This window comes from Homo sapiens, chromosome 19 (genome assembly GCF_000001405.40).
Source record: "Homo sapiens chromosome 19, GRCh38.p14 Primary Assembly".
NCBI lineage: Eukaryota > Metazoa > Chordata > Mammalia > Primates > Hominidae > Homo > Homo sapiens.
The window spans coordinates 11,228,054-11,255,236 of NC_000019.10; the positions used below are offsets into that span (position 1 = coordinate 11,228,054).

Below are 27,183 nucleotides of genomic sequence, written 5' to 3' on the forward strand. Positions count from 1 at the left end.
AGGCTGGTGTGCAGTGGCATAATCTTGACTCACTGCAACCTCTGCCTACTGGGTTCAAGCGATTCTCCTGCCTCAGTCTCCCATGTAGCTGAGATTACAGGCACGCACTACTACGCCCGGCTAACTTTTGTATTTTTAGTAGAGATGGGGTTTCACCATGTTGGCCAGGCTGGTCTCAAACTCCTGACCTCAAGTGATCCACCCGCCTCGGCCTCCCAAAGTGCTGGGATTACAGGCGTGAGCCACTGTGCCTGACCACAGCTTTCTCTCTCTATCCAGGAATATCTCCTGCAGGATGCAGGTCTCCTGTCTAGGTGAGGGTCTCTTAATGGTTTCTCTCCTTAAAGAGTCTCATGGGGAAGGGTGGCTCTCTCTAAAGGTGGTTTCAGGTACAGTCTCTCCAGGGAGACACCACCTTAAGTGCCTCTCACCTCCCTAGGTTGTGGGGGGGGGTCTCTTGGGGCCATTTCTCAAATATCTCAGGTGCAATTTCAGGGGGCTTCTCTCTTTTTTTTTTTTTTTTTGAGACAGAGTCTCGCTCTGTCGCCCAGGCTGGAGTGCAGTGGCACGATCTCGGCTCACTGCAAGCTCCTCCTCCTGGGTGCACGCCATTCTTCTGCCTCAGCCTCCCGAGTATCTGGGACTACAGGCGCCTGCCACCACTCCTGGCTAATTTTTTTTTGTATTTTTAGTAGAGACGGGGTTTCACCGTGTTAGCCAGGATGGTCTCGATCTCCTGACCTCGTGATCCGCCCGCCTCGGCCTCCCAAAGTGTTGGGATTACAGGTGTGAGCCACTATGCCTGGCCAGGGGGCTTCTCTCTTTAAAAAAGGAAGGGGCTCCACTGGGGGTCTCTTGCCACCAGGCAGGGAGGAGGGGGTCTCACCATGAGCTGGAAGAAGAACCAGGCGTGCTGGAGGATGGCCTCGCGTACGGCACTGCTGCTGACCACCCACTGCAGAGCCAGCTCCTCGTGAAGCAGCTGGGGACAGAGGCAGGGGTCACAGAGTGCGAGGTGCCACCCCTTCCCGTACCCCCTCTGGAGACATGCCAGGGGAAGATGCAGCTGGAGGGCTCGGGGTTAGTGCAGCAGGAGCCAGGCAGGAGGAGGGGGACAAGAGGAGTGGAAGTGCCCTTTCCCTGGGCTCGCCAGACCCCCCTGGACTCTGGATGGGGGAGGAGCACTGGACCCCTTTGCTGGGGACCAGGACAAAAATAGCGTCATCCGCACCTCCCCCCACTACCTTCTGCACAGTGGGTCTCAGCTGGGTGGCTGGTGGGGCCGAGGAGGAACCCTCGAGGTAGGAGGAGGCTCGGCTAGAGTTGCAGTCGATGGCCTATGATGGGATGTGATGGCGAGGAGAAGGTTAGTGTGGATGAGGTGAAGGGGTATGTGGTTGGAGGAAAGACGTGTTCACACAGACAGGGATGGGGAAAAGAGGTAGGTTAGTGTGAATATAGAGAGAGAAATGCTTCCACATGGATGGACCAGGGCCATGGATGCCAATGGGGACAGGCAAGAAAGAGAGATGGGCCGGCGTGGGTTGGGAGGGGAGGCTGGTTGGAATGGCCAGGGTGCTGTGGGAGTAGACGGGGCAGTGGAGGCAGGGACAAATAAAAGAGTCGCTGGAGAGAGCTGGGTGAGTCAAGATCAAGGTGTGTGGGTATGGGAGAAGAACGTGAGGCTGGGCGGGGTGGCTCAATACCTGTTATCCCAGCACTTTGGGAGGCTGGGGCAGGAAGACTGCTCAAACCCAGGAGTTTAAGATCAGCCTGGGCAACATAGTCAGACATTGACTCTACTAAGACAAAAACAAACAAACAAACAAAAATATATATATATGGCTGGGCCTGGTGGCGTGTGCCTGTAGTCCCAGCTGCTCAGGAGGCCAAAGCAGGAGGATTGCTTGACCCTGGGACTTGGAGGTTGCGGTGAGCTGTGATGGTACCACTGCACTCTAGCTTGGGTGACAGAGCAAGACTCCATCTCAAAAAAAAAAAAAAAAAAAAAAGGAGGATGCTGTAATCCTAGCACTTTGGGAGGCCGAGGCAGGTAGATCACGAGGTCAGGAGATCGAGACCATCCTAGTCAACATGGTGAATGGTGAAACCCCGTCTCTACTAAAAATACAAAAATTAGCTGGGCGTGGTGGCAGGCACCTGTAATTCCAGCTACTTGGGAGGCTGAGGCAGGAGAATCGCTTGAACCTGGGAGGCAGAGCCTGCAGTGAGCCGAGATTGCACCATTGCACTCCAGCCTGAGTGATAAGAGCGAGACTCCGTCTCAAAAAAAAAAGAACGTGATGGAGGAGGTGAGAATAACAATGAAAACACAGTACGCCAGTGACCAGTGACAGCAGTGCAACCACAACAGGCAGGAGGAGTGTGGATGGAGTGGGACCGAGAACACACGAAGGCTGGGAATGGGTACATGGTGTGTGGGGTGAAGGCAGAGGAGATGAAATCAGTGTAGACAGCAAGAATGTGTGTGGCCAGAGAAGGTGAGGGTGAGTGTAGACGAGGTGTAGAGTGTGACCGAGTCAGTGAGTCTAGAGGACAGAGAGGAGGATGCAGAGGTGGAGGAGGGTGAGTGTGGACAGAGGAGGTTAAACACAAGATGGGGAAGGAGGAGAAAGACAAGGCAGGAAGATAAGGACAGAGGAGGTGAGATGTTGGTGAGGTGCCAGGAATAGCAGAGAGAGCCCAAGGTTCCAGGCCTGGCCCTGCCCAAGCCTGGCTTGGGCCTCAGTATCCCCATCTGTGAAATGGGTATAGGCAGAGGAGTTCAAGCTCCACTCTCGCTTCCTCCTTCGCTGGTTAGGGGGTGAGGCTGCTCGCAGGAACAGGAGGTCTGATGACAGAGACGACCCAACCCTGGGACCTACTCTGACACTTGAGGGCTCTCTAGCTACCCCAGTCCCAGCCATACCCTGGCAACTCACTGTGCACCGTGAGGGCCTTCCATTGAAAAGGCCCAGCCTCAGTGTCACCCAGATTTCCAGATTCCCAGCAATCCAAGGAAATGACTGCCCAAAGGCCCCCCCTGCTTGTTCTGCTAGGAGTCCCCTGGGCCTGTCATAGGGTACAGGTTACCTTGGTGATGGGCACAGAGCTGGAATAGGCCCTAGGGCCAAGTGTGTAAGGAAGCAAGCCCTGTGGCCTCCTCTCTGTGCGTACAGTCCTCTGACCTTGGTCCCAATATTTGTACATGCCTTTCCCTCTTCCTGAACACCCACACCCACCCACCCTTCCCTAGCTGACTCTATCTTACCCTTCGGGTCCCAGCAAAAGATGTCACTCCCCTGGAGAAGCCCCCAAGACCACCCAGAGGGAAGCTGGTATTCGGTTGCTACTTGCTTCCTTTCCACGCTGTGTGATCATATACTTATGCATTTGTTTGATCCGTGTCTATTTCCCCAACTAGCTGGAAGCTCAGGGTCAAGGCCAGACCAAGAATCTATCATCCCAACAAAATCCCACTGCAGTGCCCTCAGCCCTAACTCAAGCACAGGCTCAGGACTGCTGGGGGAGCACTATATTTTGAGTCCAAACTGCATCCGAAAATTTGGAGTGTTATCTCCATTTTACAAATGAAGAAACTGAGGCTCAGGAAGATGCATCCAATTGCTCAGAGCATGGGGTGAGCTCATAGCAGAGCTAGGACTTGAACCCAGGTCTGTTTGGAGGCAAAGCGTCCCCCTACACCAGGTACCTGGAAAGAGGCAGGGTAAGGGGAGCTCTTTGTCTAAAATGGGATAGGGGAGCCGAGAGGTTCCATTCCAGCCCTTTGAGAGTCCCATCATCAGGGGTGGATTAAAGGGAGGTGAACAGGCCATGCAGGGCAGTGAGGTTATGGGTGACTGGATTTGCACTTCGTTTGCATGCGATTTGCATATTACCCCTGTGCCTTCTGTCTCCATCTGAGACTGTGGCCTATGTGGCAGCAAAAAGCCAGTTAGGATGACCCAGTGATACCTAAACACAGACTTCACAGCCCCAAACAAAGGCAGGAGAGGGGTCTGCCACCTCCTTCAGGCAGCCCCCCTAGGTTAGTCAGATGCAGCCAGGAAGGTGGGAGGAGCTCATGCTGAGGTGGTGTCACATGAGTGCAGGGACAGGTAGGAAGGGCACCTGTCTGGGGTCGGCCCCACAATAAGGGGGCGCCCGCCGCAGCACAGCCTTACTGCCTCCTGGAGCATAAGCGGAATTCACCCAGGAGTGTGAGCGATCGATGCCCTGGAGATACACGGAGAAGTGGTAGCATCCCCAGTGGAGGGCAGGGAAAGCAGCATGAAATACCAAGCGTGGACATGGTTCTGGACCATACATGTGCCCACATGTGCACCTACACACAATCCTGAAAAATGTGCACGTGTATATAGGTCCATTGGGTGCATGCCTTTACATAACTTGTGTATGTGGGTCCACAGGTGCATGCATACACACCCCTGTAAGTCTGTGCATGGGGTGCATGTGTATACACACCCGTACACATATATGCATCAGGTGAATGTGTATACAGACCCAGGTACATACAGGCACAGGATGACTGTGTATATGCACCTGTGTAAGTATATGCATGGGGTGAATGTGTATACGCACCCGTGTCTGTATATGCATGGGGTGAATATGTATACACACTTGTGTCCACACATGCATGGGGTGAACACGTATACGTGCCCATGTACATATATGCATAGGGTGAATGTGCCTATGTACCTGTGTAGGTATATGCATGTGGGGGTGAATGTGTATATGCACCCATGTACATATATGCATGGGGTGAATGTGTATATGCACCTGTGTATGTATATGCATGGGGGGTGAATGTGTATATGCACCTGTGTAGGTATATGCATGAGGTGAATGTGTATATGCACCTGCTACACTAGGTACATATTGCTCTTTGTTCAGCCACGCCAAGCTCCGCCACCCATCCTCGGGTCAGTCACGGAGTAGAGCTCAACACAAAGTCTGATCCATACCCCACAACCTGTGACAGCCCAGCCCAACTCTGCTGCCCAGAGTGACGCCTTCATTCACGTTGTCGTCTCTGTTGTTTCCCATGCTTCATCAACAGATTCTTCGCCCACACACGTGGCAACCACAACCACTGAGGCTGGAGATTCCAGGGCCCCCGTTGCCCTACCTTGCTGGCCAGGATGCGGGAAACCTCGTCATCCACAGAGCCAGGGGCCACGGCGAGGTCAGGGTTGCTGCTGCTGATGCTCTTGGAACGCGCCAGGTAGAGGCTTGCGGGGCGACCAGAGCCACGGGCCAGTGTGGCAGCCTGCACTGTCACTGGAGGGGCCCCTGAGGATGGAGTGAATAGGGTCAACCACCCACCCACCTGATGTGATGCCTCCCAGTCCCTTCCTACTCAGCTAATCTCTGCAAAATCACTTTCCTTCTCTGAGCCTCTAAGTTCCTCATCTATAAAATAGGCATAATGGCTGCCGCCTCACAGAGATTGGGGGGGCACTGAAAAACTGAGAATAGGCCAGGTACAGTGGCTCATGCCTATAATCCCAGCACTTTGGGAGGGCGAGCCAGGAGGATCACTTGAGCCCAAGAGTTCAAGCCCAGCCCAGCCAACATAGCGAGACTCTGTCCCTACAAAAAAATTAATGAAAAAATTAGCCGGGCATGGCAGTGCGCGCCTGTGGTTCCAGTTACCTGGGGAGGCTGAGGCAACAGGATTACTTGAGCCCAGGAGTTTAAGGCAGCAGTGAGTTATGATCGTGACACTGCACTCTAGCCTGGCCGACAGAATAAGATCCTGACTTTTTTTTTTTTTTCTTAGAGAGTTTCACTCTTGTTGCCCAAGCTGGAGTGCAATGGCACGATCTCAGCTCACTGCAACCTCTGCCTCCCGGGTTTAAGCAATTCTCTTGCCTCAGCCTCCTGAGTAGCTAGGATTACAAGCACGCACCACCATGCTCAGCTAATTTTTTTTTTTTTTAATGAGACGGAGTCTTGCTCTGTCGCCAGGCTGGAGTCCAGTGGGGAGATCTTGGCTCACTGCAACCTCCATCTCCTGGGTTTGTGTGATTCTCTTGCCTCAGCCTCCCAAGTAGCTGGGACTACAGGCGTGAGCCACCATGCCCAGCTAATTTTTGCATTTTTAGTAGAAACGGGGTTTCACCATGTTGGCCAGGATGGTCTCGATCTGTTGACCTTGTCATCTGCCTGACTCAGCCTCCCAAAGTGCTGGGATTACAGGCGTGAGCCACTGTGCCTGGCGTATTTTATTTTTTGAGACAGGCTGGTCTCAAACTCCTGATCTCAGGTGATCCACTTGCCTCAGCCTCCCAAAGTTCTGGGATTACAGCCGTGAGCCACCATGCCTGGCTGACCCTGACTCTTAAAAAAAAGAAAAAAAAAAAGAAGAAAAAAGAAAAAAACCCTGAGAATAATGCCTGACACATAGGGATTGGTGTTTATTTGGCAAATTAAAAAAAAAAAAAAATCCAACTCTATTGAGGGTTCACTATGTGCTAACCATTTTGTGTGGATTACTATGTCACTTACTATTACCAGTGCCCCCATGAGGTGGGTACTATTATTATCCCTGTTTTACAAAAGGAAAAACAGGCTCAGAGAAGTGACGTCACTTGCCCAAGGTCACAGAGACTGTAGGTGGCAGGGCCAGGATTCACATCTAGGCAGCTCAGCTTCAGTCTCCGCTCCAAGCTACTGAAGAGGCTTGCTGACTATCTGAATCGTTTTCCAGCCAAGCACACAGAAGCCACACCCCAGGGATGGGGCAAAAGTGGGCAAAACATTATCTCTCTTGCAAGTTGCTCAAACCAGCCAAGGCCTGTGAGGCCTCAGGGCCTTTGCACATGCTATTCTCACTACCTGGATGCTCTTCTCCCAGATCTTTCTTTCTTATTTTTTTTTTTTTGAAACAGGGTCTTGCTCTGTTGCCCAGACTGGAGTGCAGTGGCGTGATCTCAGCTCACTGCAATCTCCATTTCCCGGGTTCAAGTGATTCTTCTGCCTCAGCCTCCTGAGTAGCTGGGGCTACAGGCGTGCGCCACCACACCTGGCTAATTTTTGTTTTTGTTTTTGTTTTTTGAGATGGAGTTTCACTCTGTCACCCAGGCTGGAGTGCGGTGGCATGACCTTGGCTCACTGCAACCTCTGCCTCCTGGGTTCAAATGATTCAGCCTCCCTAGTAGCTGGGATTACAGGCACCTACCACCATGCCTGGCTAATTTTTGTATTTTTAGTAGAGACGGGGTTTCACCATGTTGGCCAGGCTGGTCTTGAACTCCTGACCCCCTCAAGTGATCCCCCTGCCTTGGCCTCCTAAAGTGCTGGGATTATAGGCATTAGCCACCATGCCTGGCCCCAGCTAATTTTTGTATTTTTAGTAGAGACAGGGTTTCATCATGTTGGCCAAGTTGATCTCGAACTCCTGACCTCAAATGATCCATCCAGCTCGGCCTCCCAAAGTCCTGGGATTACAGGCGTGAGCCACCGCACCCAGCCTCTTCTCCCAGATATTTCTCGTCTCACAGGGATTTCTACAAACTCACCATCCGGGAGGCTGGGCTCAGTGCCAGGAAGGCGAAAGGCGTAGTGGACGTAGGCAGCCAGCTGTGGGCAGTGACCGCGGGCATCCTGGGCTGCCTCCAGGCTCCGGTGAACAAGGCTGACTACATGGGCCATTGCTTCAAAGGCTCCACGGCCCAGGTTCACTGCAGGGCAGAGCAGAGGTCAAGTTCCAGGGCCCAAGGCCTCTCACCTCCCCGCCCACTTTCCAAATATAAAGACATCAGGATTTGAGGGATCATGTGCTCATTAAGGGGTCACAAATTTTTTTTTTTTTTTTTTTTTGAGATGGAGTCTTGCTCTGTTGCCCGGGCTGGAGTCCAGTGGCATGATCTCGGCTCACTGTCACCTCCGCCTCCCAGGTTCAAGCAATTCTCCTGCCTCAGCCTCCCGAGTAGCTGGGATTACAGGCATGCGCCACCACGCCCAGCTAATTTTGTATTTTTAGTAGAGAAGGGGTTTCTCCATGTTGGTCAGGCTGGTCTCAAACTCTCGACCTCAGGTGATCTGCCCGCCTCGGCCTCCCAAAGTGCTGGGATGACAGGCGTGAACCGCTGCACCCGGGCCAAAGGGTCACAGAAGACCTTCTCTGGGTGCAGGGGACTGGAGGTCATTTTTCAGATGAGAAAAATGGCCAGAGAGGTAAATGGGCTTATAGAAGATCCCTCAGGACCTCAGGACTGAGAAGCCATGTGGATGGGGAAACTGAGGTCTGAGGCCACATTCGCTTACCAATCTGGCCACTGATGATCGGGGGCCTGATGACCAGACGCACGAGCTTGTCCAGCACGTGGTGGGAGAAGGCCACAAGGGGTTCGGGGCTGGCCAGGCGCAGTGCTGCAAGACTGGCCCGCAGCTCCTGCTCCACGTTGCCCTCGCTCAGCACAGTGTCCTTGAGCCGGAATGGGAAGGCTCCCTCCTCCAGGACGTGCACCAGGGTGAAGAATTTGTCCAGGTAGGGGTCCTGGGTAGGGATGTGGAGTGAGCAGGGTGGGGCCTCAGGGAATGAAGACCACCCCTGCCTGAATCAGCAGCTTCCCTTAAAGCTGGGTCCAGCTGACCAAAGTCACGTCCAAGGCCTGAGGCCAGACCTCCCCGGCCATCGGCAACTGTTACTCAATCGTAGGGCAGGCAAGAGGGGAGCAGGGCGGGACTCTTGGTTCCCGGCCCACCCCGTACCTGGGGGTGCACAGAGGACACGGCTGTGAGCTCCACACTGAACACGCCCTTGTGACCGTCCACCCAGCGCATGCCCGGAAGCGCCACCTGTGGGAGGGAGGCACCAGGTGGGCACTGGTCAGCCCTCCCTGACTGATCAGGTCACCCAGCGGCCCCAGCCATTGCGACACTGCAGCGTGAGTGTAGCCCGGTCTGGGGGTGCAGCCAAGCACCCTGCCCCCAGCCCTGGTCCCAGTAGACTGAGAGGGTCCACTGGGCAGGCTGGAAATCCACATGCCAAGACGGGGGCAGAGAATGGAGACACAGGGTGAATGAATATTCATTGAGTAGGTCAGGAAACAGGATAGGAGGATTTGAGGCCTAGGGTCATTAACAATGGTGCATTCATGGGGAATGATAAGGTACTACGAGGGCAGGGGACAGTGATCAGGAAGGCAGTCAGGGTGGCTAAAGTGGGAATGGAGCAGAGAGGCAATGGGAATCTTTGGGGAGGACATGTAGGACACAGAGAGGCATTAATAGGGGAATAATGAGCTACACGGGGGCCCTGGAGGCACCAGTAGAGGATAACAAGCCTCCCAGGATTGACAGGAAGGAAGGCAGGTGACTCGGGAGTGCTTCTGGGGACAGTGCATTGGCAGGCAGGAGCTCCAGGGCACATACATCGGGTGTGAGCACGGAATAGCTGGGCGGCGGCTGGTCCACAGACACTGGGAGACAGAAGGGGCCGGTCCTCAGGCGCCCGTGCTGCAGCAGTGGGATCCACTGGGGAGAGGCTGGAGGTCAGGTCTGCGGCCAGGTTGGGGGACGAGGAGGGCTCAGGGGGAGGGAGGGAGGGGACGGCTCACAGTAAAGCCCACGGGTGTCTCCAGGGCAGTGCCCGGCCGGGGCTGGCAGCTGACATGGTAGAAGGTGAACAGCAGGTGATGGTTCTCTGTCACGCAGGCTGGAAGATGCAGCTTGAACTCCTCGTAGAACTCGGGGGACCTGGCAGAATCGGGCTGGGGGATCTGCTGGGGGCTGGGGTCCCCACTGTCTGCCCCATCACCTCTGCCATGCCACGCCCTTATTGCTGCTAGGCCCCACTGTCTCTGCTGTCTGCCTCAGCTTCCCTCATTAGCACTCTGGGAGCCTCTACCTCTCTTCTTCCTGTCCCCCATCTTCCCATCGATGCTGCCTTATGTGTATATATAAGGGACATCCTCCTACCCCCATGAGTGCCCCCAAGTTCCTCACGTGTCCCCCTACATACTTGTTATGGTAGACCACCGGTGTGAAGGCCTCGCGGGTAAATTCACTGCAGCTGGACTTGCCAAAGATGACCTGGGAGAGTGGATTCATGAGGGACCCATGGGGGATGCCCTACCCCCCTTCCCTGGGGCACAGCCACTGACCGGCAGAGCCTGGCTGGGGTCCTCGCCTGTCATGTACTGCACTCGCACAGCAAGGTTGCGCACGGAGCCCTGGCGGCTGCTGAAGTTGAGGCTGTGCGGGTACACGTACAGCAGGTTCCTGTGGGGGGCAGGATGGGGGTGTCAGAGGGACAGGGGCCCTGAAGGTGCACATACAAGGCTGGGGTGATGGGACAAGGCTGGCTGGGAGCACAGACAGTCCAGGAAGAGTAGGTCATGAGGCTGGGGCATTGAGGGCCCGGTGAGAGGTAATACAGGTATCAGTCAGGAGATAGGACAGAGGGCAGAGGGTGGGGGACAAGCGAGCACCCTAAAAACACAGATTGGGAACAGTGTGGTAGAGGGTGGGAATACAGAAGGACATTGGAGGCACTCATGGGGCACAGTGACACACAGAAGGCAGAGAATAGCGAGGCACTCAGGGCCAGAGTTCCAAGGTACCTCAGGTGGCCAGTGGTCAAGCCTAAGCCCCACCCAAGGGCCTGACTGCCCTTCCCCCAGGAGGTCACTAGAGTTATGTGGCCTGTTTCTCAGGTGGGGAAACTGAGGCCAGAGTCCGAGTCCTGCCTCCTTCCCCCAGGGGCAACTCTGTGCAAGCCTTGACCCCTCTCTGGGCCTCAGTTTCCCTATGTGTATAATGGGCACTTCAGGCCTTCCAGCTGAGCCTTTGTAATGATACTGATGATGATAAATAACAACAATGACAATAATTGCACCAAACACTATTACTACAACAATGAAATAATCGCGCCTACTGTGTGCCAGGCTCTGTTCTAAGCACTCAACATGAAATAACTCATTTACTTCTCACAAGTAGCTCATGAGGCAGGACTAACATCACCGCCATTTTACAAGCAGGGAAACTGAGGTACTTGCACAATCACCCACGGAGTAAAATGGCAGTCAGTGGTGATCTGGGCATATGCAGGTCTTGGAGATCAGGCTGTGTGACCTTGGGAGAGTCTCTGCCACCTGCACCTGCCCCCTTGGATACTAACCAGGCCAATAAAAGCCCCCACGTGGCAAGTATGTGGGAGGGGAACAAGAGCAGATATTGTAATGGCAGGTCAAACAGCTCAGGGCAAACCATCAATGCTTATAAAATCTTTACTGTTATTACCATCATCATTGCGATGCCTATTCATAGATGGAGAAACAGGCTCAGCATGGTGAGTCTCAGGAACTCCCAGCAGGGTCTGGGGCCCGTCCTCTCCCAATGCCCCCCACCCACACCTGGCCCTGAGCCCCAGGAAGCGTGATCCCGGCGTGGCCTAGCCGGACATTCGCCTGATGCAACTATCGCACCACTGCCAGGCCCTTGTGCAATGCGGGGCACCAGGTCGGCCAGTTAACGATTGACTGGGGATCAGTGGGGGTATGAGGCATAAAAGGCTTCAGTGACAGTGCTGTGGCTATACCTTAGACCCTCAGTCATGCCAGTGCCTGCTCTGTGCCTGCTCTGGGCCCTGGCAATGGTGACCCGGCCTGCCTCAGCGGCCCCCATGGGCGGCCCAGAACTGGCACAGCATGAGGAGCTGACCCTGCTCTTCCATGGGACCCTGCAGCTGGGCCAGGCCCTCAACGGTGTGTACAGGACCACGGAGGGACGGCTGACAAAGGCCAGGAACAGCCTGGGTCTCTATGGCCGCACAATAGAACTCCTGGGGCAGGAGGTCAGCCGGGGCCGGGATGCAGCCCAGGAACTTCGGGCAAGCCTGTTGGAGACTCAGGTGGGCACCGTAGCTGCGACACTGTGGGGTGGCCAGGAGTCCAAAGAGGAGTTCGTGTCTAGGGTAACCAACCATCCTGGTTTGCCCAGGACTGAAGGGATTCCTGGGATACAAGATTTTCAGCGATAAACTCAGGCAAGTCCTTAGGTACACAAAGATGAGTTGGACATCCTACTAGTGACCCACTGTTTATTAAGCAGATGGAGGAGGATATTCTGCAGCTGCAGGCAGAGGCCACAGCTGAGGTGCTGGGGGAGGTGGCCCAGGCACAGAAGGTGCTACGGGACAGCGTGCAGCGGCTAGAAGTCCAGCTGAGGAGCGCCTGGCTGGGCCCTGCCTACCGAGAATTTGAGGTCTTAAAGGTAAGGAGCTCCCCCAACCCTAGTGGGCTGAGACCCTGATTTCCGGCCAGAACTCGCTTCTGCACCTTGAGTCCCAAAGACCTCCCAGATCAGCCTCCCAGCTCTGTGGCCTCTACCCTGCATGTCCCCAGACAAAACTCAAGTCCTTTTGTGTGCCTCAGTTTCCCTTTTGTGTGCCTCAGTTGCAAATAAGGGCAACACCTGATATCTCACAGTAGGGCCAGGTACTCAATGCAGGTAAAATATTCAGCATGGGGCGGGCACACAGTTGGTGCTCAATAAATTCTTTTTTTTTTTTTTTTTGAGACAGAGTCTCACTGTTGCCCAGGCTGGAGTGCAGTGGTGTGATCTTGGCTCACTGCAACCTCCACCTCCTAGGTTCAAGTGATTCTCCTGCCTCAGCCTCCTGAGTAGCTGGAATTACAGGTGCACCAGCTAATTTTTGTATTTTTTAGTAGAGATGGGATTTCACCATGTTGGCCAGGCTGGTCTCGAACTCCTGACCTCAAGGGATCTGCCTGCCTCGGTTTCCCAAAGTGCTGGGATTACAGGTGTGAGCCACTACACCTGGCCAATAAATTCTTACTACTAGAGAAACTGGTAACATTTTGTGAGCACCCAGTAAGTACCCAGCACTGTTCTATGCCCTTTAATAATCCATATGATGGCCGGGCATGGTGGCTCATGCCTGTAATCCCAGCACTTTGGGTAGCTAAGGTGGGTGGAACACTTAAGGTCAGGAGTTCGAGACCACCCTGGCCAACATGGTGAAACCCCGTCTCTACTAAAAATACAAAAAATTAGCTGGGCGTGGTGGCACATGCCTGTAGTCCCAGCTACTCAGGAGGCTTAGGTAGGAGAATCGCTTGAACCTGGGAGGTGGAGGTTGCAGTGAGCTGAGATCGTGTCATTGCACTCAGCCTGGGTGACAGAGAGAGACTCAAAAAAAAAAAAAAATCCATAGGATGTTCATCACCTCCCCATGAAGTGAGTCCTATTTTATCCCCATTTTACAGATGGGGAAACTGAGGCCAAAGAGCATTGTTGACTTGCTGGGTCACACAGATACAATGAGGGGCTGGGGCAGAGGGTCAGGGGATGGGAGGTGAGGTGGCTGTCGGCTGAGGTTTCCATTCTGACCCCCACAGGCTCACGCTGACAAGCAGAGCCACATCCTATGGGCCCTCACAGGCCACGTGCAGCGGCAGAGGCGGGAGATGGTGGCACAGCAGCATCGGCTGCGACAGATCCAGGAGAGGTGAGCCTGGCAGGGGTTTGGCAGGCAGGGCAGTTGGATGGGGGGCGCACAGGGCAGCTGGAAAGGGGCCCCCTCACCTGGGCTGAGCCACATCTCCCTCCCCAGACTCCACACAGCGGCGCTCCCAGCCTGAATCTGCCTGGATGGAACTGAGGACCAATCATGCTGCAAGGAACACTTCCACGCCCCGTGAGGCCCCTGTGCAGGGAGGAGCTGCCTGTTCACTGGGATCAGCCAGGGCGCCGGGCCCCACTTCTGAGCACAGAGCAGAGACAGACGCAGGCGGGGACAAAGGCAGAGGATGTAGCCCCATTGGGGAGGGGTGGAGGAAGGACATGTACCCTTTCATGCCTACACACCCCTCATTAAAGCAGAGTCGTGGCATCTCACCCAGGGTGTCTGTGTGTGTCCTTGGCTTAGGGAGACCCCACCCAGCATGATGTATGAATACCTCCCATTCAAGTGCCCAGCTGGGCCCCAGAGGCCGTACCTGTAGCTGGTATGGGGGGCATAGACTTCGCGGGCGGGGAACTCCAGAATCTCCTTGGTGGGCCGGCCCCTGGGGTCCGGGTAGGGCTTGATATGAAGCAGCTCAGGGGAGAGGCAGAAGTGGGGATTTTCAGGAGCCGGAGAAATGTCGATCTTGAGCTGGGCTGGGAAGGGAAGAACCGGTTTGCACCTGCCTGGGAGCCTCCTGGCTCAGCCCACCCTTTCTGGGCTGTGTAGTCAGGGCAGACTCTCCCATGATGTTCTCTGGGGACTGGGGGCTGTGTCCCTCAGGCGCCAAGGCCAGAAATTGCCCTCAACTCTGCTGTCTGTCACCCTAAATTTTTTTTCGTTTTTGTTTTTCTTTTTTTTAAGTGGAGTCACTCTGTTGCTCAGGCTGGAGTGCAGTGGGGCGATCTCGGCTCACTGCAACCTCTGCCTCCCCAGTTCAAGTGATTCTCCTGCCTCAGCCTCCCAGGTAGCTGGGATTACAGGTGTGTGCCACCACACCTGGTGAATTTTTGTATTTTTAGTAGAGATGGAATTTCACCATGTTGGCCAGGCTGGTCTCAAACTCCTGACCTCAAGTGATCTGCCCGCCTCGGCCTCCCAAAGTGCTGGCATTACAGGTATGAGCCATCACACCTGGCCCCCAGGCTGGTCTTGAGCTCCTGGGCTCAAACAATCATCCTCCTGCCTCAGCCTCCCAAAGTGTTGGCGTTACAGACTTGAGCCACTGCACCCCAGCCTTACCCCTACATTTGATCAACTCTGCCCCCAGGACCCCTGCCTGCCCCGCTGCCATTAACCACCTATTGACGCTGTATCCATCTTATTTATTCTGCTTCTTGTCTATGGTCCCCATTAGAAGCTGTAGCCAGCCCCTGAGGTCAGGGATTTGTCCATCATGGTCATCGTTGGGTCTCTGATGCCCCTGGCACAGTAGGTGCTCTCAGTGTAGGTTTGTTGAGTGGCTGAGTGAGAGTGATACTTCTTGTGTATGGGGTGTGCCACGCACCAGTCACAGGACGTAGTCGCCGCAGCAGGGACGACGGGCGCCTCATGTCAGCCAGGAACTTGAAGAGGTCCTCGTCACTGAGTCGCTCAGCCTCCTACATGGGACCCACTCCCGTCAGCCTGGGCCAGGGGGCTAGGGGTCCCCAGGGCTAATGCAGCCAGCGGGGAGTGGGAGAGTCCCTGGCCCCAGGGTAGGACACCTGCTTAAAGAAGTTTGTGACAGTTAGCGTGGCTGGACGGAAGCCAGAGAAGCTGCAGGCGTCGTCCCCACTACTCGCCCGGTCCTGGGGCCCCCGACGGCGGCGGTCTGTCCAGGCTGGCCGGCGCTCTAGGGGAGGGAATGACAATGACAAAAGGGGGACCAAGATGAAACAGGGAGACTCAGGGGCGGCACAGTTCGGCCAGCAGAGGGCGCACCCCCTCGCCCCGTAGCCCCGCCCCAGGCCTGTCAGCACCACCCTTTAGCCCCGCCCCAAGCCTGTTAGCCCCGCCTCCTCACCGCCCTCCGAGTCAGAGTCCCGGTCCAGCTGCCCAGCGCTGCTCACGATGTTGGCCAAGTGCACGGCCGTCCAGGCGAAGGGCATGCGGTAGCGGCCCAGGCGGGTGCAGAACTGCTCGGCCGCCAGGCGCAGCTTCTCTAGCTTCTCTTTGTTCTGTGGGGAGACCCCGTCCCCTGCCAGCTCAGCATCCTAGCCCTGCTGAGTCAGGGATCTGTTGCCCCTAGTCCAGCCTCCACACGCTTACCTTGGCTGTGTCCACTTCTTTCAACACCATGTAAGGCTCACAGCACTCACTGATGTCCCCTTGCTGAAGCACCTTCTCCAACTGCGGGGCAGATGAATGAATCCAGTGAGGCGCTGCCCGAACGCTCTGTTCCCCCGTGCTGGCTCCCCAGCCTCCTGGACCCCTCATGGGCCCTCGGACACTCCTAACATATGAAGGCCTTTGCTCCAACACCTCCCATGGCTCCCGCTGTCCTTGGGATCAAGGGTTAGTGTTGGCCTGCCTGGTGGCTACTCCCTCCCATTCTTCAGATCTACCCCTAACCTCCAAGCCTACCTTTAGCTGGTGATATTTTCCCTAAATTTACTTATTTATTTACATTTATGTATGTATGTATGTATGTATTATATAGAGACAGGGGTCTCGCTATGTTGCCTAGGCTGGTCTCAAACTCTTGGGCTCAAGTGATGCCCCTGCCTCTGCCTCCCAAAGTGCTGGGATAACAGGCTTGCTGTGAATTTTTTTTTTTAGACAGAGTCTCCCTGTTGCCCAGGCTGAAGTGCGTGATGGGATCTCAGCTCACTGCAACCTCTGCCTCCTGAGTTTAAGCAATTCTCCTGCCTCAGCCTCCTGAGTAGCTGGGATTACAGGCATGACCCACCACACCTGGCTTTTTTTTTTTTTTTTTTTTTTTTTTTGAGATGGGGTCTCGCTCTGTCACCCAGACGGAAGTGCAATGGCACAATCTCGGCTCACTGCAACCTCTGCCTCCCGGGTTCAAGCAATTCTCCTGCCTCAGCCTCCCAAGTAGCTGGGACTACAAGCGCCTGCTACTACGTCCCGCTAATTTTTGTATTTTTAGTAGAGACGAGGTTTCACCATTGGTCAGGCTGGTCTGGAACTCCCAACTTCAGGTGATCTGCCTGCCTCGGCCTCCCAAAGTGCTGGGATTACAGGCGTGAGCCACCGCGCCCAGCCAATTTTTGTGTTTTTAGTAGAGAATGGGTTTCACCATGTTGGCAAGGTTGGTCTCAAACTCCTGGGCTAAAGCGATCCTCCCGCCTCAGCCTCCCAAAGTGCTAGGATTACAGTTGTGAGTCACTGTGCCTGGCCTTCCCTACATTTTTCTTTGTTAGTGTAAATAGAGGCCACTCTGGGCATGGCTCTGAGCCATGAGGCCTAGACTCCAATCCTGACCACTCAGGGGCTGTGGGACCCTGGGCAGTGGGACCCTATCCACTCTGTGCCTCAGTTTCCCCATCTGGAAAATGGGAACCATGGCACCCCTCCACCTTAGGCCCTGTGGTGAGGACTGAAGGAGGGATCCCTGTGAAGCGTGACCATAGCAGCACCTGCCTGTGGATACTGGATTCATTTCATCATTGCAAACTAATAGAAGGTTTTGAGAAAAGAAATTTGACCTCCCTCCCAGAAACAGAAAATCTCAAATGAGGGTGCCAACTATGTCTTTCATCTGTCCACAAACTTCCCAACAGCATCTCACCCACCTCCGAGGACCCCAGCCTGTCACATGTGCCTAGGGATGGCTTTTCTCCCCAGGCTGCCCACGTATAGTTATCAGCTCAACTGTCGCCTCTCCCTGGAAGCCCTTGGTGATTTCTCCCCACCTGAGTTGGATCAGGGGCCTCCTCCCTGCCTGTGTTTCCCCCACAACAGCCCTGATTACCCTTCTTGGTGATGTATCTGTCTCATTCTGTGAAGGCAGGGACTAAATCAGTGACATTCGCCATTACCACCCCCTTGCCCAGCCCCAGCAGGCACCTTGATGACCAGGAAGATGTCAGGTGAGGGGTAGGTCACAGAGAAGATGGCAGAGCGGGCCAGGGTGGAGATGGCAGGGTGGGTGCCATGAGCCCGAAGCAGCCCCTTCATGGAGTCCGAGTTCAGGTCGAAGTAGAAGTTCTCCGAGATCTGGGGACACCAGAGGCAGCTGGGCCACCACCTCTGGGAAGCCCACAGCCCCCCAACAAGGAGAAGGAAGGGGAGGAAAGAGAAAAAAGGGCCTCCTACCTTCTTTTTCTCCCGCACATCATACAGAGCCAAGATCCCAAAGATGGGCTCAATTTCAATCTCGAACCTACAAGTAAATGGGAGGGAGGGGGCTCTCCTTAACACTTCCCGCTGTCCACACACCCCACTCCCTCTTGAGGCCCAAGGTGGGGGGCATCTGACTCCCACTGGGCCACATGGAACCGCCACTTAAGGGCTTGCAGAAAAGGTACATCTCATTTTGCAAAAGGGGAAACTGAGGCACTGAAGTTTTTTGTTGGTTTTTTTTTTTTTGAGACAGAGTCTCGCTCTGTTGCCCAGGCTGGAGTGGAGTGGTGCGATCTCGGCTCACTGCAACCTCTGCCTCCCGGGTTTAAGCAATTCTCCTGCCTCAGCCTCCTGAGTAGCTGGGACTACAGGCACGTGCCACCATGCCCAGCTAATTTTTTGTGTTTTTAGTAGAGACAGGGTTTCTATGTATGTATTTATTTATTATATAGAGACGGGGTCTCGCTGTGTTGCCCAGGCTGGTCTCAAACTCTTGGGCTCAAGTGATGCCCCCGCCTCTGCCTCCCAAAGTGCTGGGATAATAGGCATGAGCCATCACGTCCCCGGCTTGCTGTGAATTTTTTATTTTATTTTTTTAGACAGAGTCTCCCCTGTTGCCCAGGCTGAAGTGCGTGGTGGGATTTCACCATGTTGGCCAGGCTGGTCCCACCCGCCTCAGCCTCCCAAAGTGGTGGGATTACAGGCGTGAGCCACCGCGCCCCGCCGACACTGAAGTTTTTTTCCCCCTCCCTACACCCTCAGTAAGTAACTCACACAGAGCTCCTCCTCCCTGCAACCACGGCCCTTGTTCCGTTGGCATGGGGGCAGTTTTGGGCTCAACAATCCCCACATCTTGAAATTCTCAACTTCCGGGTTTCCCCATCCCTCCTTTCTGGGGTGTCATCTGCCGCCATTGTCACTCTGCACGGAGTTCCCATCTCGCTCACCTGAACGGCCACCATAAAAGTCCTTCCCTGTCTTACTCCACCTTGCTGGCCTCCGCTCACCACGCACCTCCAAACTGAAACACTGAGCACTCCCCGTTACACCCCTTCCATCCTCTCTATTCAGCCAGCTCCTCTTCCTCACTGGGTCTCCATGTACACGTCCCCCTGCAAGGGAAGCTGTCCCAGATACCCGCTCGCACCCCTCAAGCTGGGCCAGGGGACTCCTCCAGGACTCTAGGCACTTTCAGCATCGCTTATCCCGGCTCTGTGTGGTCATCGCATGGTTATGTGTCCTGTATACAGTAGGGACTTCATAAATGTTTTATTTTTGTTTCTTTGTTTGTTTGAGGCTGGAGTGCAGTGGCACAATCTCGGCTCACTGAAACCTCTGCCCTCCGGGTCAAGAGATTCTCCCGCCTCAGCCTCCCAAGTAGTGGGGATTACAGGTGCCTGCCACCACGTCTGGCTAATTTTTTTTTTTTTTTTTCAGTAGAGATGGTGTTTTGCCATGTTGGCCAGGCTGGTCTCAAATTCCTGAGCTCAGGTGATCCGCCCGCCTTGGCTTCCCAGAGTATTAGGATTACAGGTGGGAGCCACCGTGCCCGGCCAATAAGTGTTTGTTGAATGACTGGATGAGCCCACAGAGCCAGGTCCCAATCCTTGTGTTTAGGGCAGGAGGCCCACCCAGGCCTCAGGCCAGAATGGAGCCTCCCTTTCCTGCCCCGATCCAGGCAAGAACTCGGGGTGGGGAGCGGCAGGGCCAGGCTCAGGTCCAAGTCCACATCCTGTTCAACTCTGTTCCCACGCACTTCTGCTGCTCCCCGGGGGCTGGTGTGGAGGGGCCCTGGGCGGCTGAGAGCCAGGCCCAGGGTCACTAGCACCCGCCCCAAAGCCTCCCGGCCAAACCCTGGATCCCAGCAGCAGAGCAGGCAAGCGCCAGACTCCAGCCTTACAAGTTGTATGGTCTTGGCGTCATGTCACCACTCTGTGCCTCAGTTTCCCCACCTGTGCCCACTTCATGAGGTTGTGGTGAATATAAGACGGGTTCATATACATGAAAGGCTGAGAACTGATCCTGGCATACAATTGGCACTTAAGGATTGGAGACTCGGGATAATGAAAAAGGAAGTCTTCCTTCCCCCATAAAAGCCCATACATAGGTGGCCACATAGGTGACAGGGCCGCACACGGTAATGGCACTACTCATGTAGTGTGTACCCCGCCGGAACCCATGTGGTTGCTTCACGCATCTAAGAAGAGAGACATGTCAGTATACTCACTTGAGCGACAGACACTTGACCAAGATCCTTTGTCCAAAGTGCTCGCGGGGTGGCTCTGGGCGGCTACAGCGTTCCACGGCTTCATCCTGCCAAGAGTGGGGGGTGGGAGCTGGGCGGGAGGAGCTGGGACATCCTCCAGGAAGGGTCTGGAATGCCCAGCCTCAGACCAGCTCTACCCCAGCCTGACTAACCGTCTTTCCATCCCTGCCTCTGAGCCTTTACACGTGCTGTTCCCCTGCCTGGAATGCCCATCTTCTCCCACTCCTCCTTGTCTCGCTAATGTCTGCTCACTGTTCATATATACTTCTACTATATAGAGGTATATAGTAGGTGTCCATATATAGAAGCTTATTTTTTTTTTTTGAGATGGAGTCTCGCTCTGTCACCCATGCTGGAGTGCAGTGGTGTGATCTTGGCTCACTGCAACCTCTGCCTCCCAGGTTCAAGTGATTCTCCTGCCTCAGCCTCCGGAGTAGCTGGGATTGCAGCTTAGCCAACACTTCCTCCAGGAAGTCCTCCCTGACCCCTGAGGCCTGGGCAGGCACCTCTTTCGGGTGCCCACAATGTCCTGGTGTAAGGAGCCATGGTGGCTGGGACACTGAGGACCGTGTGAGGGACAATTACCAGCACCTCATCATGGCACTACTCTGTCTGGGTTATACGTTCCTAGTAGAGAGGTCTCTCCTCCGCTAGTGAACTCTGAAGGCAGGGACTGGGTCTCTCTATTCATGGCTATATCCCCAATGCCAACAATACAGTGGGTACCCAAACATGTTAGTCGAATAATTATAGAGGTATACAATAGGTACCTACTAAAAGTTAGTTGGATGAACATAAGCATATACAGAAAGCATTCAATAAATGTTGACTGGAGATATAGGGATATACACCCAATAACGCACCCAGTAAGTACTGATTGAATAAATATGGGTGTATATAGTAAGCACTCAATAAATGGCCAAATACAACCACAGGAGTATATACTAGGTACCAAATAAATGTTGGTTGGATAAAAATAGACATATGTGGTAGGTGTTCAATAGATATTGGTTGATTAAATAGAGAACTATACAGTAGGCATTCATGTATTGAATAAATATAGGGATATACAGTTGGTACCCAATACATGCTTGTTGGATAAATAATTTTTAAAAATTTATTTTCTGGCCAGGCGCAGTGGCTCATGCCTGTAATACCAGCACTCTGGGAGGCTGAGGCGGGCAGATCACAAGGTCAGGAGTTTGAGACCAGCCTGGCCAACATAGTGAAACCCTATCTCTACTAAAAATACAAAAATTAGCCAGGCATAGTGGCACGTGCCTGTAGTCCCAGCTACTCAGGAGGCTGAGGCAGAAGAATCGCTTGAACCTGGGAGGTGGAGGTTGCAGTGAGCTGAGATGGCGCCACTGCACTCCAGCCTGGGTGACAGAACGAGACTTGTCTCAAAAAAAAAAATTTATTTTATATATTTTTTTACCTTTCCTATGGTGTTGATGGTTGGATAAATATAGGAGTATATAGTAGGTGTCCATATATAAAAGCTATTGAGGCCAGGCGCGGTGGCTCAAGCCTGTAATCCCAGCACTTTGGGAGGCCGAGGTGGGCGGATCACCTGAGGTCAGGAGTTCGAGACCAGCCTGGCCAACATGGCCAAACCCCGTCTCTACTAAAAAAAATACAAAATTAGCCGGGCGTGGTGGCTGGCGCCTGTAGTCCCAGCTACTCGGGAGGCTGAGGCAGGAGAATGGCGTGAACCCGGGAGGCGGAGCTTGCAGTGAGCCGAGATAGCGCCACTGCAGTCCAGCCTGGGCGACAAGAGCGAGACTCCATCTCAAAAAAAAAAAAAAAAAAAAAGCTATTGAATAAACACAGGGGATAGAGTAGGTGCCCAATAAATACTGGTTAGCTAACTATAAAGGTATATAGTAGGTGTCCATATACAGAAGCTATCTTTTTTTTTTTTGAGACAGAGTCTCGCTCTGTTGCCCAGGCTGGAATGCAGTGGTGCGATCTTGGCTCACTGCAACCTCTGCCTCCTAGGTTCAAGTGATTCTCCTGTCTCAGCCTTCAGAGTAGCTGGGATTACAGGTGCCCACTACCATGCCTGGTTAATTTTTGTACTTTTAGTAGAGATGGGGTTTCACCATGTTGGTCAGGCTGGTCTCAAACTCCTGACCTCAGGTGATCCACCCGCCTCAGCCTCCCAAAGTGCTGGGATTATAGGTGTGAGCCACCACGCCCAGCCAGAAGCTACTTTTTTTTTTTTGAGACAGAGTTTTGCTCTGCTGCCCAGGCTGGAGTGCAGTGACGGTGATTTCGGCTCACTGCAGCCTTCACCTCCCGGGTTCTGGCGATTCTCATGCCTCAGCCTCCTGAGTAGCTAGGATTACAAGCACCTGCCACCATGCCTGGCTAACTTTTGTATTTTTAGTAGAGATGGGGTTTCACCATGTTGGCTGGTCTTGAACTCCTGGCCTCAAGCGATCTGCCCACCTCAGCCTCCCAAAGTGCTGGGATTACGGGCATGAGCCACCATGCCCGGCCTAGAAGCTATTAAATAAGCATAGGGTATACAATAGGCACCCAATAAATGCTGGTTGGATAAATATAGGGGTATATAGTAGGTGTCCACATATAGAAGCTATTGAATAAACATAGGATATACAGTAGGTGCCCAATAAACACTGATCGGATTAATACAGGTGTATATAGTAGATGTCCATCTATAGAAGCTATTGAATAAACATGAAGTATACAATAGGCACCCAGTAAATGCTGGTTGGCTGATATCTGGGAAGGGGCACCCACCTCGTCAGGTGCCGGGTAGAGGGTGAGCAGGGCCGGGGGCCGGTGCTGCCGTCGAAGGGTTTCATTGCGCCGGTCCACATCTTCTGGGGCCGCCCGCTCTAGCAGAGAGGGCAGCAATGAGTCAGCTGCCAGGTTCCTCAGGTCGAAGATGCTAGAGGCACCACTGCTTCGAGGGGTGTCTTCCGGGGAGCCCGAGCCACGCCGGGAGTCATTCTGCCAGTGGAGAATGTGCAAGCACTGAGTGCCAGCTGTATACACCTTCACCTCACTCTGGTGAGAGTGTCCTCATACTCATTCTAGAGATGGGGAAATTGAGGGTCAGGGGGTGAGGGTCATCACTCTAAGGGTCACCTGGGGGTTTTGCCTACCCTCTTTCCAGAAACTTCTGTCTGGAGAGCCTCCCAACTTTTACCATTGCTGGGGGAGGCTACTCCTTATCCCACATTTGGGGCTTTAGGTGATCCTTATCTGGTCAATCAAAACACATCTACCCACCCTAGGGACTGGCTCCAAGGGCCTGGGCTGGGCCAATGAAAGCCTTCCCTGGGACTTTGTTCACTGTCGCCAGGGAAGGAGAGAGTTCTTCCTGACCTTCCTGCACTGGATCAAATCCCAGCTCAGCTCTGTGACACTGGGTCTCTGACCCCCAACTCTAAGGGCCTCAGTTTCCCTATGTACATCTAAAAATAATAACAAAATTAGCCGGCATGGTGGCGCATGTCTGTAATCCCAGCTACCCGGGAGGCTGAGGTGGGAGGATCGCTTGAATCCGGGAGGTGGAGGTTGCAGTGAGCTGAGATTGCACCACTGTACTTCAGCCTGGGCGACAGAGTGAGATTCCATCTCAAAATAATTAATTAATTAAAATAATAATAATAATGAAAACAACAATAATCTTTGGAATAATTATGGTTGGTATACAGTAGGTGCTCAGTAAATGTTGATTGACAAAATACAGGCTCACGGCCTCTAAGAACCTTGCTGTGCCTCAGTTTCCTTACCTGGGTGTAATGGCTGCCCTGACTCCTAGGATGAAAGCAGAGGACACATATGAAGCCTTCAGTACACCCTAAGCACTCAATAAATGTTTATAATTATGACCCCTAACTTTTTACTCATGGGGACTGATGCAATTCCTTTTGAGCTCAAGGCTGTTTGGGTCATTTCCTGTCACATGTGACCAAAAGCTGAGGCCGGAGCCTCCACACATACCCCTTCAGTGACCCCAGCCAGGGGCTTCCTCACCGAGTCCTCAGGGCCGGACCTCTCGTCTCCAGAAGCATCCTGCTCAAAGACCTGGCGGGGGAGGCCCTTCTGTCGCTCCCGCTGTGTGTCTGTGGTGACGGGGCTGTATGCTGCACTCAGGTACTGATACCTAGCAGGAAACGGGGCTGGGCAGGTAGGGAGGGCTGAGGGCCCCCAGGGGGTCCCCAGTGTGTTCTGACACACCTACATGGCACCTTCAAAGCCACCGTCCTTGTGCTCCACCAGACAAGTTTGCCTGCTCTTGCAGGGACAATGGGCAGATACACAGTAGGACCGGCTGCAGACATCAGCTCAGCCCTTTTGGGTTCCGAACCCCCTGAGCTGCCCCTAAGTCAGACTCACCTTCTGTGGACAATGACCCAGTCCTCAATATACATCTCCACCGCGGCCCTCACCTGGGCATCCAGTTTTCTGCAGCAAAAGAAGATCAGGGTAAACAGAGACAAGGCCTCTGTGAATCCTTCTGCTAGCCTGTAAGGTTAGCACTGTCCTGCCTATTCCAGACAAGGGGAGATGGAGGCTCAGAGAAAAAGCATGGCTTGTCCAACGTCACGGCCAAGCCAGGAGCTGAAGTCGGGCTGTTGATGGGGTTGGCAGAGACAGAGTGGAATCACAGGCAGAGAGGGCGTGGGGCTGAACCCACTCATCCTTGGGGATCCCGGGCTCCGTGGTCCGGCATTCCCGGGGCTGCAGCAGCAGCTCCAAGTCATCAGCTGGGAATTCTACCAGGTCCCTGAGGGGCCCGGGCTCAGCATCTGGTGGCCGGCTCAGAAGTACATCCTCAAAGTCCAGGGGCTCGACAACTTCAGTCAGTGGGACCTGGATTGGAGCAAAGTGGCTGTGATCGCACTACCTAGGAGGCTGAGAGTGGGGGCACGAGGCAGGGGTGGGTGCGCGCTGGCTTCAAACTCAAATAGGAGGGCGGTGGGAGCCATGGAGGGTGTTGGAGTTACGGAGGAACCATGGAGGATGATGACCTCAGACTCTCCACCCCCACCTCAGCTTTCCCTGCCCTGCCCCTCCCTCCAGGGGCTCCAGGAAGGAAATCACACCCCATGCCTGGAAGGGCAGAAACTAACAGTGGAAGGAAAGAAATGTTGACAGAGGCCAGGCAAGAGACAATTCCTAAAGCCTCCGCAACCCTGTGGGCAACATGGCCCCACCCCTCTCAGGCGAAAGTCACTCCCCTCCCCAACTTCTCCCTCCTCCATCCCCATCTAGGTGGTCCAGGTGGCTGGAGATGGGGGACATCAGGAGGGAGCCACTCCCCTGACCACCCACAGGGTGACAAGCAGCGGCAGGGAGAGTGGCCACAGGAATTGGTGAGACTACTAGGACCAGGACAGGCACTCCCTCCCCCGACACTGCTGGGTCCCTCTCGGTTTCCCCCCAGGACAGGCCACAGGAGGGAGGGGGTGGGATAGAACCTAGGCCAAGGAAGCCCCTACCTCTGTCTGAGAGAGGGCAGAGGGCTGGGGGCGGACCCCCCAAATACTTACCCCCAGGGAGCTGCTGCAGCGCCTGCTGGAGTGGGGGGAGCCACTGCGTTCCCGGGACACCTGCTTCCGCACCTCTGCGGCCACCGTCCTGGAAAGATAGGGAGGGGGCCATTGGGGACGGGAAAACTCAGGCAGCGGAGCGGACAGATTCTTTCTATGAGGAAAATCCAGATTGTGGAACGAAATAAATAGGCCGAGGGCCAAGAGAACCAGGAGTGCTGAGGCTTTAAGGGCCCACAGCTCCCCAGTTCCCCCAACGCGTTCCCCATCAAGCACAGATCAGGAGATGAGAATGCTGCCACCAGTGGGGTCTGAAGCCATCACGGACTCTCCTTCCCCTCCCGGCTGGGCCTGTGGCCTTCCAGGTCTGGAGGGAGGCCCACGGGTCCCTGGCCTCTGCTCCCTCATCTGGGGGACCTCTGTCCATCCTGCTGTTCCCCAACACACCCAGCCCTGCCCCTGGACCCCATCCAGAACATACATCCCTTCCCATCCTTGCTTTGGGGCTTTGGATAAGTCATTTCCACCTCTGAGCCTCAGTTTACCCTTCTGTAGCTGATGCCCTGACTTCACAGAGCTGCTGGGCAGAGCGGAGCCTGGGGCCTGGCCTGAAGTCACAGAGATCCTGAGATGAGGCCATTGTGTCAGAGGTCAACCTGGCCTGCGGGGCCCAGAGCTGGGAGGCCTTCTAAGTAACCCCAAGCAACCAAGGTGGGCCCTGGGGCCTTCCTGGGCCACCTGGATCTGAGCAGGCCTTCAAAATCAGGGAGGATGGCCAGGCATGGTGGCTCACACCTATAATCCCAGCACTTTGAGAGGCTGAGGCAGGCGGATCACCTGAGGTCAGAAGTTCAAGAAGGTCCTGGCCAACAAGGGGAAACCCTGCCTCTACTAAAAGTACAAAAATTAGCCAGACTCCTGTAGTCCCAGCTACTCAAGAGGCTGAGGCAGGAGAATCGCTTGAACCCGGGAGGCGCAGGTTGCAATGAGTCGAGATCGCGCCACTGCACCCCAACCTGGGCAACAGAGCAAGACTTTGTCTCGAAAAAAAAAAAAAATCAGGGAGGATGGGGGTAAAGGGGCAAGACTCGCAGTAGAGGGGACTCTGCAGGAATGTGGAGCAGAGCCAGTGGGGACAGGGATGGCTCAGCCCTCCAATTCCTCTGGCTGAGCTCAGAAGTGGATGAGAGAGCCATGCAGTTACCTGAGGGTAGAGGGTGCCCAGCAGGGGGCACAGCAGGTGCAAAGGACCTGAGTTCGGGCTCCGTGCTTTGAGTGTGGAGACTCCTGCTCCCTGGGGTCTCTGTGAAGGCAGGAGCTAGGGCTGTGTGTCCCCCAAAGAGGGCCTTGCACATACTAGGCACACACTCCTTTTTTTTCTGAGATGGAGTTTCGCTCTTGTTGCCCAGGCTGGAGTGCAATGGCCACAATCCCGGCTCACTGCAACACCTGCTTCCCGGGTTCAAGCGATTCTCCTGCCTCCGCCTCCTGAGTAGCTGGGATTACTGGCATGTGCCACCACACCTGGCTAATTTTTCGTATTTTTAGCAGAGACGGGGTTTCACAATGTTGGCCAGGCTGGTCTCAAACTCCTGACC

General features: G+C 54.4%; 2 protein-coding genes across 12 annotated transcripts in view, besides 5 other annotated features; one reads left to right on the forward strand and one right to left on the reverse strand.

The window, feature by feature from the left end:
- Positions 1–27,183, reverse strand: part of DOCK6 (dedicator of cytokinesis 6) — a 63,230-nt gene that overhangs the window by 28,759 nt on the left and 7,288 nt on the right. For 2 of the 11 annotated variants that reach the window (XM_011528150.2, XM_047439126.1), the window contains exons 2-24: positions 25,586–25,673; positions 24,730–24,905; positions 24,429–24,497; positions 24,033–24,195; positions 22,821–23,033; positions 20,013–20,098; positions 17,759–17,825; positions 17,510–17,659; positions 15,749–15,829; positions 15,504–15,657; positions 15,205–15,332; positions 15,006–15,099; positions 13,992–14,154; positions 10,134–10,251; positions 9,992–10,062; positions 9,588–9,726; positions 9,403–9,504; positions 8,740–8,826; positions 8,293–8,524; positions 7,545–7,706; positions 5,150–5,313; positions 4,132–4,236; positions 887–982 (exon numbers count right to left, since the gene is read on the reverse strand). In XM_011528150.2, coding sequence (XP_011526452.1) covers positions 887–982; positions 4,132–4,236; positions 5,150–5,313; positions 7,545–7,706; positions 8,293–8,524; positions 8,740–8,826; positions 9,403–9,504; positions 9,588–9,726; positions 9,992–10,062; positions 10,134–10,251; positions 13,992–14,154; positions 15,006–15,099; positions 15,205–15,332; positions 15,504–15,657; positions 15,749–15,829; positions 17,510–17,659; positions 17,759–17,825; positions 20,013–20,098; positions 22,821–23,033; positions 24,033–24,195; positions 24,429–24,497; positions 24,730–24,905; positions 25,586–25,673 — 2,908 coding nt within the window. The other 9 variants (XM_047439125.1, XM_047439127.1, XM_005260000.3 and 6 more) reach the window with 8 other exon arrangements.
- Positions 8,271–9,081: an enhancer, noted in NCBI's record as "H3K27ac-H3K4me1 hESC enhancer chr19:11347000-11347810 (GRCh37/hg19 assembly coordinates)". NCBI's record gives its function as "activates a minimal SCP1, AML or CMV promoter by ChIP-STARR-seq in primed H9 embryonic stem cells {active_cell/tissue: H9 hESC(primed)}" and the evidence as "EXISTENCE:reporter gene assay evidence [ECO:0000049][PMID:30033119]".
- Positions 9,082–9,892: an enhancer, noted in NCBI's record as "H3K27ac-H3K4me1 hESC enhancer chr19:11347811-11348621 (GRCh37/hg19 assembly coordinates)". NCBI's record gives its function as "activates a minimal SCP1, AML or CMV promoter by ChIP-STARR-seq in primed H9 embryonic stem cells {active_cell/tissue: H9 hESC(primed)}" and the evidence as "EXISTENCE:reporter gene assay evidence [ECO:0000049][PMID:30033119]".
- ANGPTL8 (angiopoietin like 8) lies at positions 11,566–13,890 on the forward strand. The gene is made up of 4 exons (NM_018687.7): positions 11,566–11,881; positions 12,082–12,243; positions 13,392–13,501; positions 13,607–13,890. Exons 1-4 carry the CDS (start codon positions 11,585–11,587, stop codon positions 13,632–13,634), a joined length of 597 nt encoding a protein of 198 aa, NP_061157.3. The 5' UTR covers positions 11,566–11,584; the 3' UTR covers positions 13,635–13,890.
- Positions 15,428–16,238: an enhancer, noted in NCBI's record as "H3K4me1 hESC enhancer chr19:11354157-11354967 (GRCh37/hg19 assembly coordinates)". NCBI's record gives its function as "activates a minimal SCP1, AML or CMV promoter by ChIP-STARR-seq in primed H9 embryonic stem cells {active_cell/tissue: H9 hESC(primed)}" and the evidence as "EXISTENCE:reporter gene assay evidence [ECO:0000049][PMID:30033119]".
- Positions 24,695–25,663: an enhancer, noted in NCBI's record as "H3K27ac-H3K4me1 hESC enhancer chr19:11363424-11364392 (GRCh37/hg19 assembly coordinates)". NCBI's record gives its function as "activates a minimal SCP1, AML or CMV promoter by ChIP-STARR-seq in naive H9 embryonic stem cells {active_cell/tissue: H9 hESC(naive)}" and the evidence as "EXISTENCE:reporter gene assay evidence [ECO:0000049][PMID:30033119]".
- Positions 25,664–26,632: an enhancer, noted in NCBI's record as "H3K27ac-H3K4me1 hESC enhancer chr19:11364393-11365361 (GRCh37/hg19 assembly coordinates)". NCBI's record gives its function as "activates a minimal SCP1, AML or CMV promoter by ChIP-STARR-seq in naive and primed H9 embryonic stem cells {active_cell/tissue: H9 hESC(naive and primed)}" and the evidence as "EXISTENCE:reporter gene assay evidence [ECO:0000049][PMID:30033119]".